General features: G+C 37.5%; 1 protein-coding gene across 4 annotated transcripts in view; it reads right to left on the minus strand.

Annotated features, from left to right (window-relative positions):
* HYDIN (HYDIN axonemal central pair apparatus protein) overlaps positions 1-14,044 on the minus strand; it is a 428,639-nt gene that overhangs the window by 342,285 nt on the left and 72,310 nt on the right. For all 4 annotated transcript variants that reach the window (NM_001270974.2, NM_017558.5, NM_001198543.1 and 1 more), the window contains exon 7: positions 8,291-8,415. In NM_001270974.2, the coding sequence (NP_001257903.1) occupies positions 8,291-8,415 (125 nt within the window). The remainder of the gene's footprint in view (positions 1-8,290; positions 8,416-14,044) is intronic.

Consider the following 14,044-nt stretch of genomic DNA (forward strand, 5'->3'; position numbering starts at 1 on the left):
TGGATTTGGTTTTGGTTTGGTTTTGTTGTTATCAATGTAGCCTTGAGTAATTGTATTTTTAATCTCTTCTGGAGGGATGAGTTTATAAAAGGTATCACCTTGCATCAGTTCTTTCTCAATTTTAGACTATAATAAAAAAGATAATTAAATCATTTCTCAGGTAAAATCAACTGCTTAAACAAACTTGATTTTACTATACGCAGGCACCCACAGGAAGAAAGAGGAAAAGAGAAGGGAGGGGAGAATTCTGGTTCAGAAAAACATTAATGGGTAAAATATTAGATATTGCTGAAACTTTTTTATGCTCAACCTCCTTAATTGCTAGAGCACTGGTTCAAACTCTGGTTGTCAGAAAAAGCAAAGAAATCTCCTAACTTCATTTAATCAAGAATATATTCAGCGGAGGGCCAGAAACGGAAGGAACAAATGCCACTGTTAGGAACGTGATTGAGTACTTCCTGCTGAGGAGTGTCAATGCTGCTCCTTCTGGAACATTGTTTTAGGAATTATAAAGAAAAGACTCATCAACAGCCCATGTTAAATTTCCTTCCCCAAATAAATTCATATTTCAAACAGCTGCAGAAAGTTCAATCGGATGCTTATTTAATGAAATGAAAAGCCAATGATCATGGCTGCTTGGAAAAGCTTCATGATTAATTGTGTTTAGGCAGTTATTAGCATTTTTCACTAATGAAAGGTTATGGATTCTGGTCATTAACAACCCACAATAAAGATTGAAAGCATATTCTTAGCAGCAGTTCATTTCATGTAAGGAAAAATGCTATAAGACAGTTTACCTCTGCAATCTTCAGAATATGACTTTATTCATTCACCAAAGGTAACATCAGAACCTCAGGAGGTAGAAACCAACTTTTCTATGAATGATTAATTTTTTTTTTTTTTTTGAGATGGAGTCTAGCTCTGTCGCCAGGCTGGAGTGTAGTGGCACGATCTTGCCTCACTGTAACCTCCGACTCCCTGGTTCAAGAAATTCTCTTGCCTCAGCCTCCCAAGTAGCTGGGATTACAGGCACACGCCATCACACCCAGCTAATTTTTGTATTTTTAGTAGAGATGGGGTTTCACCATATTGGCCAGGATGGTCTCGATCTTCTGACCTTGTGATCTGCCTGCCTTGGCCTCCCGATTACAGGCGTGAGTCACCACCCCTGGCTGAATGATTAAATTTTAATACACAAATATTTATTGTGGTTCAACCTATCTTTCCTTTAGCACAGCAGTATATATGTAAGTATGGGTGTCATTCCAAATGCTTACATAAAAGTAAAATTGATATCCAGGGAGGCTGGCAAAATGCAGCCGCATTTCAAAGGCAGCACATCAAGAGAGCACAAATGCACAAAGAGTTATATGGGAGATGAGACGATCTGCTATAGTGAAAGAACACTGCCCAGGAGGTAAGAGGCTGAGTCTGGCTTCTAACTGGGCTTCTATTTGGGCTTCTGATTAGTTCTGTGACCTTGGGTGAGCCACTTAATTTCTTAGGGCTTTAGTTTCTCTATCTGTAAAATCTAAGGGTTAGATGAGGTTATCAGTGAAGTCGTCACTCAAGTTTTGATTCTATCGAGCTATAAGCACTCTAAATCAGCTGAACTCAAAACTCAACAAATAGCGTTTTTTGAAATTATACCCCAACATATGTAGAGTTGTTTATTTATAAATTATACCCATATGCTAGATTGCTCATGTGTCAAATGTATTAAAAATACCCCCAAATGTTTAAAAGAATGAGATAAAGATGAAATAAACAATTATTTTAAAGATAATGTATTTACTATTTTTACCAACAATTATTTTAACAAGAGTAAAAGGGTTGACTATGCTTCATTCTTTTTCAAACTCCTGATTTAAAATCTTGTGATACAGTGACCCAAATCTAATTCTAAGGCCACATTTATTCTGACACTTCGTTTCAGCAACTAACATAAGCAAAATCAACAAGGATGTAAGACATAAGATGTATGCAAAATCAACAAAAATACGGAGATCCAGAGAGAAAAAAAATGTATCACTGACCATATTTATTAGCAGGCATATGTTTCTTCAGTTTCATCCACTATCAGTACCAGTAACACAATGGTTTTGGCTGAAATTCAGCTAATAATTTTACCATAATGGGAACAATTACTTAATAGTCAAACAGGAGGTTCAAATATATCTATAATTGCATTTAACATAAAATGACTGAATAGTACAATTAAAAGACAAAGATTTTCAGACCGGATTTAATAATCAGCCTCATTGGTGATGCTTCCAAATGTCATACTTTAAATGTGAGGAAGGTTGAAAGTGAAAGGATAAACAGATTGTACTATGTCCACACTAATCAAAAGAAAGCTTCTATGTTGTATAAATATCAGATCGAGTAGACTTTAGTGTCATAAATCTTACTAAAGATTGAGACATTTTATAATAAAATGGTTAATTCAACAGGAAGTTATAATAATCCTACATGTGTATACGTCAAGTATCATGGCCTCGAAATATATAAAATGAAAATTATTAGCACCAAAAAAGAGGAACACCTAAGTTGTAGTTGTGGATTTTAATGACATCTTCCAATAACTGATAAAACAAGGAGACAAAACGTTAGTAAAGATATAGATTGAATGGCATCATTATTAACAAATTTGACCTAATTGACATTTATGGAAGGTGTACCCTTTTGAAGCGTACAGGGAACATTTACCAAAATGGAACATATTTTGGGTCATAATGTAAGTCTCAACTAATTTCAAGGCCTGAAATCGTATAGAACTTGCTTTCTGTCACTGGTAGGATTAAACAAGAAATCAATAACAAAAAGAGACCTAGAAAATTCCCTAATGTTTGAATATTAATCAACGCATTGCTAAATAGCCCATGTGTCAAAAAAGAAATAAAAATGTAAATTCTAAAATATTTTCAATCAAGTGTTAAAAACAAAATATGTAAAAACATATGGGCTGAAGATTGAGTCAATTTTAGAGGAAAATGTATTGTCTTAAATGCATGTATTATAAAAGAAGAAAGGCTGAACATCAATATTCTGAGCATCCCTGTTAAGATCTAGAAAAATCATAACAAATCAAACCTAAAGAAAGTAGAAGGCCTGAAAAAATGAAGAGGTGAAATCAATGAAATTGAGAAGTGAACAATAAAAATAATCAACTAAGAGTTGGTTCTTTGAATAAACTAAAAAAAACTGATAAACCCCTAACAATATAGTTCAAGAAAAAAAAAAGAGGAGGATACAAATTACCAATAAGAAAAGAGGAGATATCACCAAGGATCCTATAGCAAACAATGATTAAGAAGGGTTCTGAACAACTTTATGCCAAAATTTTAAGATTTTAGATTAAATGGAAAAGTTTATTGAAAAAGTTTAACAGAATCAATCATTAAAAAGCTGCCCCCCTTTTAAAAAGTGAGGTTAAACAAATGGCTTAAAGAATAAAATTTTCAATTATTTAAGGAAGAAATAACATGACTCTCTAAAACAATTTCTCTAGAGAATTAAGAAGAGAGAACAATTCCCAACTTGTTTTATGAGACCAATTTGTTTTGTTCTGACAAGGGCATTACATGAACAGAAAATTACAGGCCAATCTTTCTCATTAATTTGGATGCCAAATTCTTGAACAAAATATTAGCAAATATAATCCAATGATGTATTAAAATGATAATATACAAACTTGAGTTTATCCCAGAACACAGCAGGAATCTAGCATTTCAAAATCAACCATCGCATTAGAAGAATAAAGGTGAAATAATGTACAATCATGTCAACAAATGCAGAGTATTTGACAAAATTAAACATCTATTCAAGATTAAAAGTCTTAGAAACCTAGAGATAGAAGGAAATTTTTTTAACCTGATAGAGTCTCCAATAAAAACCTATAGCAAACGTCATACTAAATGATGAAATACTGAGCACTTCTCTTCTGAGACTGAGAACAAGAGAAAGATATTTGCTGTCATTACTTCCAATGCACAGCATACTAATGTCTAGCCTGTGGAAGAAAGAATAAGAAATGAAGAGCATAAGGATTGAACAAAATAAAAACTATTATTATCTGCAGATGACCTGTTTGTGTATATACAAAATCCAAAATCATCTACAGATAAGTCAGAAGTAAATTTAGCAAAGTCTGCAGATAAAAGCTCAATATACAAAACTTAACTGTAGTTTAATAAAGCCACATAAATTTAGAAAATAAGCTTGGGAAAAAATACCACACTAGCTATAAAATTAAAATAGATAAACTGTACTTCATCAAAATTAAATTGTTCTGCTAATAAAAAGACATTAAGAAAATTAATTTCTCACTGTGAGAAAATATTCACAATAATTATTTCTGGAAGACTTATATAAAGAATATATATATATATATTTCTTTTTCTTTTTTAAGATGGAGTCTCACTCTGTCACCCAGGCTGGAGTGCAATGGCTTGGTCTCAGCTCACTGCAACCTCTGCCTCCCGGGTTCAAGCTATTCTCCCGCCTCAGCTTCCTGATTAGCTGGGACTACAGGTGCATGCCACCACACCCGGCTAATTTTTGTAGTTTTAGTAGAGATGGGATTTCACTATGTTGGCCAGGCTGGTCTTGAACTCCTGACCTCGTGATCCATTCACCTTGGCCTCCCAAAGTGCTGGGATTACAGGCCACCATGCCCGGCCAAGAATATATTTTTTAAAACTACAAGTCAACAACAAAATGATAAACTACCCCATAAAGAATGGGCAAAAGACTTAAACATGTACTTCAGAAAAAAAGACATCAAAATGGGCAAAAGCACATGAAAAGACACTCAACATCATTCATTATTAGAAAAATGCAAATTAAAACCAAAATAAGGTACCACTTTATACCGAGTAGAATGGCTAAAATTAAAAGACTGACATGACCAAGAGTTGATGAGAATGTGGAATTTCATACCTTCATTGCTGGTGGGAATATAAATAAAATGGTTCAACCACTTTAGAAAACCATTTGGAAGTTTCTTACAAAGTTAAGCATATGATGACTATATCACTCAGCAATTCTACTTTTAAATATTTACCCAAGAGAAATAAAAACATATGTATATCTGCACACACACACATACACGCACACACACACGATGTGTACAAGAATGGTTATTTTATTTTTTATTTTTTATTTTTTATTTTTGGAGATGGAGTCTTGCTCTGTTGCCCAGGCTGGAGTGCAGTAGTGCAATCTCTGCTCACTATAACCTCCGCCTCCCGGGTTCAAGCAATTCTCCTGCCTCAGCCTCCTGAGTGGCTGGGACCACAGGCACATGCCGCCATGCCTGCCTAATTTTTTTGTATTTTAGTACAGACATGGTTTCACCATGTTGCCCAGGCTGGTCTCAAACTCCTGAGCTCAAGCAATGCTCCTGCTGTAGCCTCTTAAAATGTTGGAATTACAGGTGTGAGCCACCGCAGTCGGCTGAGAAAATATTTTTACAAATACTTTTAAATTGATCACTAACCTGATAGGACAATAAGGACATCAATGTGAAGACAAGCATACCAAGAAATAGTCTAGTGCCAAGGCTAGCCTTTGCCCTAATGGCTTTTGTGAACCTTCGGATTTCTGCTTTAAAGATTGCATTATGTGCCGAGGACAGCAGATAAAGTTCAGGGCCTGCCCAGAGTTGGAATTTCAAATCCAAAAATCACAAAACACAAAAAGACATAAGATACCCTGGTTGAAAACCAGCAGAAACAATAAACAGCAAACTAAATAAGTAGACTTAATTTGAATTATCAGATACAAAATATAAAAAAACCACATTTAATATATTTAAGAAATCAAAGGGAAACTTGAAAAATAAAAGAGGGGAGAGCAGTCAGATTTGATAAGAACTAAATAAAACTTCCAGAAATAAAAACAATAATAATAATTAAAAAGTTAAAACTCAGCAGGTGAGACTTCACTGAAGAGGGGATTATTGAATGGAATAATGAATAAAAAGAAAGTATCCAGATCAGTCTACAGAGGAAAAGAAATGGAAAATATAGAGGTAAAAATGAATGAATAACAGTGCAATAATAGATTAAGTATTGGAATAATAGAGTATTCCATATTCCAGAACAAGACGGAAAACAGCAAATAATGCATATGGGGAAACAATGACACACGGCCTCTACATCACACATACACAAAAATTAAATAAAAGATGAGGCATTAACCTAAAGACAGGAGCTAAAACTATAACCCTTCCAGAAGTAAACATGGGAGATTATATTCATGATCTTGCAGAAGGCAAAGATTTCCTAGCATGGAGGCAAAAAGTGTTAATCTTGTAAGAAAAGAAAACTGGTAACATGGATTTTGTCAAAATTCAAACTCGCTGCTTATTAAGAAATATTATCAAGGAAATGAAAAGGCAAGCTACAGACTTGGAGAAAATATTAATAATACATACATCTGACAAATGACTAGTATTTAGAATACTGAGTAATAAAAGGTACTTACAAATTAATAACAAAAGAATAAGCAAAGAAAGGTCTTGAACAGACACTTAAAAAGATAAATGAATGGCCAGTAAGCACCTGAGAAGGCAGGCAACATCATTAATCATTAGGGACATGAAAATTAAAACCACTGATAGACATCGCTTTACACCACTAGTATGTCTAAAATTGACAAAACAGCACTACATGTTGGTGAGGATGTGAAGCAACTAGAACTCTCATGCCTTGCTGGTGGGAATGTAAAATGACACAACTATCTTGGAAAACTGATGCCCCAATGTGTTATGAGCTGTGCTTTCAGCCTTCTACCCTTTGGTTATATGGGTCAAACATTCCCCCTTTTCTTAAGCTAGTTTCTCTTGCTAGCAGCCAACGAGTGTGGCTAAAACTAATAGACAAAACAGATAGACCACATCACTGGCTGGTCTGTGGCATTGTTCTGCTGAGCAATGTGGAGCTAGGGCCACTTAACCATGGGACCTAAGACAAGGGCTTGAGTCGTCCTCCTCAAATACACGTCCACAAAGCCAGCAACTCTGAACTACACTCTAGATGCCTTGTGCTGCTCCTTCTCTGGGTGTACCTTCAAGTTTCTATCTACACACAGATCACCCCAATCTACCAGTGTGACTTCCAGGGATGGGTTCTTTCCTGAGCCCTGCATTCCTCAAGTTTTCAAGCATCAATGACACCAGTTAGGTTGGATTTCCATCTGACTCCACATCATTTCTGTGGGTTCTTCATCTTGTGGATCTTAGCTTACTCTTTCCCCGGCTGTGCGCCTCTGTTTTCTCCCTACAACGCCCTTCTGCAGATAATCTGGGTCAATCAACATGAATGGGTGAAGCAGAAGTGAGAAGGAAATGAGAAAAAGCATAAAATAATAAATGGCAATGTAAAATATTAATTTGGAAGCCAACTTTGGAGACTGCATAATGTACATGCCATCTACATGACCATAAATTAAATATTTGCAACAATGTGTAATTTTCGTGATTATGGAGGGTGTGGCCTTCAAGAAAATACTAGTGGCAACAGATACAGTCCTATATTCCTGTAAGATGTTATGTAGGATATTTGCATGTTCTAAGGATTAAAGTAACTGGATCTTAATAGACTAGTGGGCACATATAAGAACATTCTGAATTGGGGTTTACATTTTTAAAATGTTAGACAAATATCACAATAAGTCAAATGGAAAACCCATGGGGCATTAAATTACCTGCAAATTTTAATATACAGACAACCTCAATCCACCAGTGTGGCTCCTGGGGATGGGCTCCTTCCTGAGTCCTGTATTCCTCAGGCTTTCAAGCACTGGGGACACCAGTTAGGGGGATTTCTGACTCCACATCATTTCTACTGGAGGCATTCATTTTTTTTTTTTTATCTTGTGGATCTTAGCTTACTCGAATGCAGCCAAAATAACCATTTCCTATTCAGCTTTATCATATTTCCCATCTGACCTTTTTAAATTTTTTAAAATTGATTTTATTATTATTTATTTATTTTTAATTTCAGTGGTTTTTTGGAGGAACAGGTGGTGTTTAGTTACATGAATAAGTTCTTTCGTAGTGATTTCTGAGATTTTGGTGCACCCATCTCCTAAGCAGTGTACACTGTACTCAGTGTGTAGTCTTTTATCCCTCACCCTCCTCCTGCCCTCTCCCCCAAGTCCACAAAATCCATTGTATCATTCTTATGCCTTTGCATCCTCGTAGCTTGGTTCCCACTTATGAGTGAGAACATTCTCATCTGACCTTTCTTAATATGTAGAACTTTTAACAAAGAATACTGCATACCTGTGTCATAACACACGATAAGTCTTCCACTGTGATCGCCCACACTCTGTGGCTCAAACTCCACTTCCAGTTGCATGGACTCTCCCACATTAAGAGTTCCAATAGCTGGTTCTATAGAGAAAGGCCTGCAACACACAGAGAGGCACATCATCAGAGCATATTTCTGACTAGTGTGAGACGGGGAGGAAAGGAGACAGGAGTTCTAGTTCTGCAGACAGCTCAGACCCAGCACTGCAATTTCATGATCTAGAAGTGAAGTAGACTTTTGCTACCTAATGTGAAAGAACTTTAGTTTTAATGTTAAAATGACAGCATTAGATTAGCAAGCGTAAGGGCAACTTAAACAATGCAACAATATTCTTGTTTGTGTCCTTGCCATTCAGCCCTGCTTTTAACATTCATTGAGTATCCCTGCTGGGCTCAGGCACTCAAGTTAGGGTGACTGCAAATGAATAAAATCCAGCCTTTGTCCTCAAACACTGAGATTGCTGTAAGGAACAGACTTAAAATATGTATGCAAATATTGTCATTTTCAAAAGAACAGTGCCTTCAAAGGGATAAAAATCGAGTTTTGTGAGAGTTCACAGGAGAGAGGGCATCATAGTGGAAAAATATATCTGAGCCCCAAAAGGAAAGGGATAGCACCCTCACTCGCCTTAGGATAATTCAGGACAGATGAACAGAGGGTCTATATTAAAAGGGTGGGAGGGGTGTAGAGGAACTACAGGAGATGATGCAATAGCCCAGGTGGTAACAGTAGCGCTGCCACAAAAGAGCCATGGAGAGAAGGCATGGTTTTTAAAACCGCAAGGAGAGGCCTAAGAGAAGGCTGCCTTATGGGGAGCAAGGAGACGTAGCCAAGGGAGACAGCAGCCCAGGTGGTCTCCCAGGGAAGACAATGGGGAAAAAATATCCTGACCTCACATCCCCTCCCATCTCATTGTCTACCAGACCCTCACTGGGTGAACACAACCAGAGCCAGAAATGCGAGTCGAGGGCTGTTGACCCAGGCTGTAGAAGCCAGCCTCCGGGGCTAGAGCAAACTGAAGAAGGGTGGAGAGTGCATTTGAAAAGGCAAACTGAGGACAAATTCTGTGTCTTGAAAATATAATTTGGGATGCAGACATTGTGGGGAGTGAGGGTTGATTTGGAAACAGGAAATAGTTTAATTGTTTTGGAAGAGAATAGTAAGAGGGAAGCTGGATCTGATGGTGAAATACCTTAAGTAACTTAGAGAGTTCTTCCTAAATAGGAAACCCAGCCCATTTAATTATTTTCATGGTCCATTTCACTTCTTTAAATTGCTAGTTTTTCAAAGTAATGTGTTGTGTAATGCATCTGGCAGACCGAGCTGTTTCTGATTATTTACTTCGATCACAACAGTTCTTAGAGCTGTCATTCCTTAAATCTTCCCTTAGATGATGAACTCAGTTTCAGAAAATCTAAGCTTTCTGCTATAAGGATACAGAGTTTATGTCAGGGGTAGCACTGGGTGGCATCTGAGAGTATTACTACAGGACCTCAGGTGCTCCCTACTGTGAGCAATTGGTTATTTTCTCTGGTACTTTCTACTTGATCTCCTCTCTTTTCTTTTTTTAAGTTTTAAAAAAAAATTTACTTTTTGTGGGTACACAGTAGGTATATATATTTATGGGGTACGTGAGATGTTTTGATACAGGCATGCACTGTGAAGTAATCCCATCATGGAGAATGCATATCCATCCCCTCAAGCATTTGTCCTTTGTGTTACAAACAATCCAATTACACTCTTTTAGCTATTTTAAAATGTACAATTAAGTTATTGACTATAGTAACCTTGTTGTGCTATCAAATAGTCTTATTCATTTTTTCTAACTATTTTTTAATACCCATTAACCTTCCCCAACTCCCCACCCAACCCCCACTACCCTTCCCACCTCCAGTAACCATTCTACTCTCTATGTCCGTGAGTTCAATTGTTTTGATTTTTAGATCCCATGAATAAGTGGATCTCCTCTCCTTTCACTTCCTGATTTTCCTGCTTCCTTTCCTTTTTCCTGTCCCCATACCTGTAGCACTGATCCACCAGTGAACCCCAGGCATTGCTGCAGAGGCACTCTGGGGCAGTGGTTACTAGCCTGACCTCTGGAGCCAACCGAATGAGTTCAAAACCCAGCTCTGCCACAACCTTGGGCAAGTCACCTAACCTTCAGTTTCCTTATCTGTAAAAGGAGGGTAATGATAGCACCTACTTCATACGGTTATAGTGAGGATTAAAGGGGTTGATATAGGTCAAGTGCTTAGAATAATGCCTGGCACAAAGGAAATGCTATACAAGTGTTTATTATTCTTTTTGTTATGGCTATTTTTATCTCCCTCACTGGCAGCCTCTAGATGCTGTGTGATGAATCTGTGGATGTGTTTGGGTGTTTCGATGAGTTCAAGCTTTTATCATTCCCCCCTCACTCCTTCACACTGCTCTAGAGAGAGTGTAAAAAACACACACAGGTCATAACACATCAATCTCTTGTTCAAACACCTTCAGCGGTCCTCATCACCTGTGCAATCAAGTTCAAACTCCTAGGCATTTCAGGTCCCACACAATCTGCTCCCAGTAGGTTTTTGCATTTTCATTACACACATACATCTGTCCAAATATCCTATACACCTGTCATGTTCCAAGGCAGTGCTGGGGTGGGATGGGAGGCAGGCTTTAGTCTCTTCACCCACAACCTCCCCCAGCACTGCACCTGCTTTCTCTTCCCACCAGATTGTGGCCCCCACATAGACAATCGGAACTGCTAGGATCACATCAGGTGACTTGCCATTTCCCACATGCCATACTCCTTCTGAAGCCACCTCTCACAGCCCAGACTCAAAGTCACCTCTTAAATAGAATCTTTCCTGATTCTCCCTTTTGTGAATAGTATCTCTTTCCTCTCAGAGACTATAACTTCCCTTTTAGTTTATACAGTGGTTTACTTTGTACTTGAGTTGGTTTTCATGCCTGCCTCTCTCAATAGCTAGAAACTCTTGAGAAGAGAGGGAAGGGAAAACACAATCACGAGTCATCTTTGTGTCACTCATCACCCCATACATGGTTCTTTACTCAGGAGCCTCTCAGAAGAGGTTCTTAATTGAATTACAATAAACTCTTAAAGGTAAATAAAAATATTTGTAATCAACTATCAGTGTTTATGACATCGTGGTGGAATGAGAAGGAGCAAACCTTCAGTAGAATCTGTGCCTTGTGGGAAGTGACGGTGAGTCTCCCAGTCTCAAAGTTTCTTCCTTCCTTACGGCCTCAGTGAGAATCGGAAGAAGTGAGAACTGGGCCCAGTTTCCCGGCTTTAGGAACAACACCACCATATTTACTTCTATCCTTTGCCTCCCTACTTCCTAATATTTTTCTTCCTGCATTGTACTTTCATTTTATTTTCAAATATTTCTTGGTAGCAAAAGAATAGTTTTAAAATGAATTGGATATTATTATATTGCAGTACCTAAACTATTAATAATTTTTACAGAAAAAGTGATACTAGTATCCCATCTGTACGACCTCCAGGAATCCAAGTTCCACGGAGTGGTAAGGGTTACTTTGCCTTTGTGCTAATCGTTGGGTTTAGGTTACACAAACTTCTTCAGTAGTTATAATCACCTGGGATTGCCATTGCTACTTACAGCTGCCTAACAGATGTTAATTGGGTAGAGTGTGTCAAGTTCTGGTGGTTACACATTGTCTATAATTTGATTTTGTACTTCATTTTACTAAAATGCAGACAGGCTGAACGGGCTAGAAAATATCAAGTATCAGAAAATGCTCTTACAAAGAAGTAAAAGGTGTTGTTCTTCAAGGGTATAAGGATGGTTCAGTCTATCAAAATATTTGGTTTTGATATCATATCTTGATTAATATCAAATAATTATGGAGGGAGTTTGGTTTTGTGAAAAATCATGAGCCATGAGAAAGATTTGAGTTTTTGTTCCATCAATTATGAGCTCTTCTTAAGAACTAAAACCATCCAAATGATTCAATATTTTAGCAGAAGACTAAATATGGATCCTACAATATTAAATATTGAATATAATATTAGTATTTATTCTTCAGATGATCTTTCTTGTTTAATTCCTTACTTGAGTTTTTAGATTTTGAAATTGCTTCTTAATACTCTCTATTTCACCTTCCAATGTTAATCCTACTTTAATCATCAAAGTTATTCTGATACCTACTAGAGTTTTAGGTCAAATTTAACAATAATTGCTTATGTTCTCTGTACATTTTACAGCCCATTGCAGCCTCTTTTGTTAGTGTAAAATTATTATGCTTATTTTATAGCAGTTGGAGAATGTGTTTTATTTTATTTTATTGTAGAGGTTTATAGTTGTAGTTTTGCCTTTGTGATATACTGTTGGTTAGGCATCTTATAAACATTTATTGGGTGTTTATTTATTCTAGACAGATGCTGGGGACATACAAATGAAAAGAGTTAGATACAATCCTTCCATTTGAGAAGCTCACATTCGAATAAGGGTAACAGACATGCAAAGAAAGTTTTAGTTTTTGTGATTTATAAGAACCTAAGCATTTTATAAACTTAACCACTAATAAAATCATTATTTCAACGAGAAAAGGATGATCTGTTTTTTTAAACAATTTCCTGTGGGACATTATTTCTAGCTGTATATTGACACTAAAAGTGGGAGGACCATGGGCTTTTGACTCCAAATTCTCAGACTATATCCACTGCTCTACCATGTCTATTAACAACCATATTAACTGAAGAACACTGTCTAGGAACAGAAACATCTGTGTGGTTTTTAGAACGGATCCTTGTCAGGGGATCTCCTTAGAGATTCTAACTCAATATGATGTGACCACAAATTCAACCACATTCTTTCTCATTGAAGCCATCAGCGTTCTCAGTTGCAAACAACAGAAGCCAGCTGTGGCTAATTTAAACAGAAAAGGGACTGACTGGTAGGACTTGAGGCAACTCACAGAATCAATGATAGTTGAAAAACATGCATTTTGTGGAGAAAACATAAAGCCATTATTTCATGAAGAGTCTAAACAGGAAAACAAAAATATTTGCAAACAGGGAATTTGAGAGACTTGGTTACACAGAAGATGGGAGAGGTGAGAACTCCAACTGAAGAAGGTGAGACAGCTCCGAGATTCATAACAGCGGTAAGCTTTTTCCACCCCTGGACTGGAAGCAAAAGGAGAGGAGGAAGTGTTATCAGATCCTGGGGACCAGGGTCACCTGGCAGAAGTTAGAACCGTGGCAGGCCAGCCTGACAGTGGCTAGAACCATGGAGGAGGTGCAGTGGTGGCTGGGGACTCTGCTGAAGACAAAGAGGGAAGAGGCTTCTTCCTTCTTCCTACTCTCCAGTCTCCTGCTAGTGTCCCTGACTGGTCAAACCTAGCTGGAATCTGGCTGAGCCAGGAGGCTAGGAAGGCTCAGGAAGCCCCACAGGGACACTGAGCAGCGCAGGGGAATGGTGAGACATGTACCTGAGGGCAAACAAGCCCAGAGCTAGCCCATGTTTGCACGAATCCAGGTTTTGATGTTAACTTACTGGGGGAGTTTGGGTAAGTCATTTAACTCCTCAGGCTTTACTCCCTTCACAGTAAAATGGCAATGCTGGGCCAGCATGTCTACTGTTGACAAATCCTGGCCAGTCCCTGAGTTGCCTCCCATTTTACCTTAGAATTGTTTCTATATTAGGAAAACATAATTCATATTCATAGGTAGATAGATAGAAAGATTTTAT

The sequence above is a fragment of the Homo sapiens genome, chromosome 16, assembly GCF_000001405.40.
Source record: "Homo sapiens chromosome 16, GRCh38.p14 Primary Assembly".
In the NCBI taxonomy this organism is placed as follows: domain Eukaryota; kingdom Metazoa; phylum Chordata; class Mammalia; order Primates; family Hominidae; genus Homo; species Homo sapiens.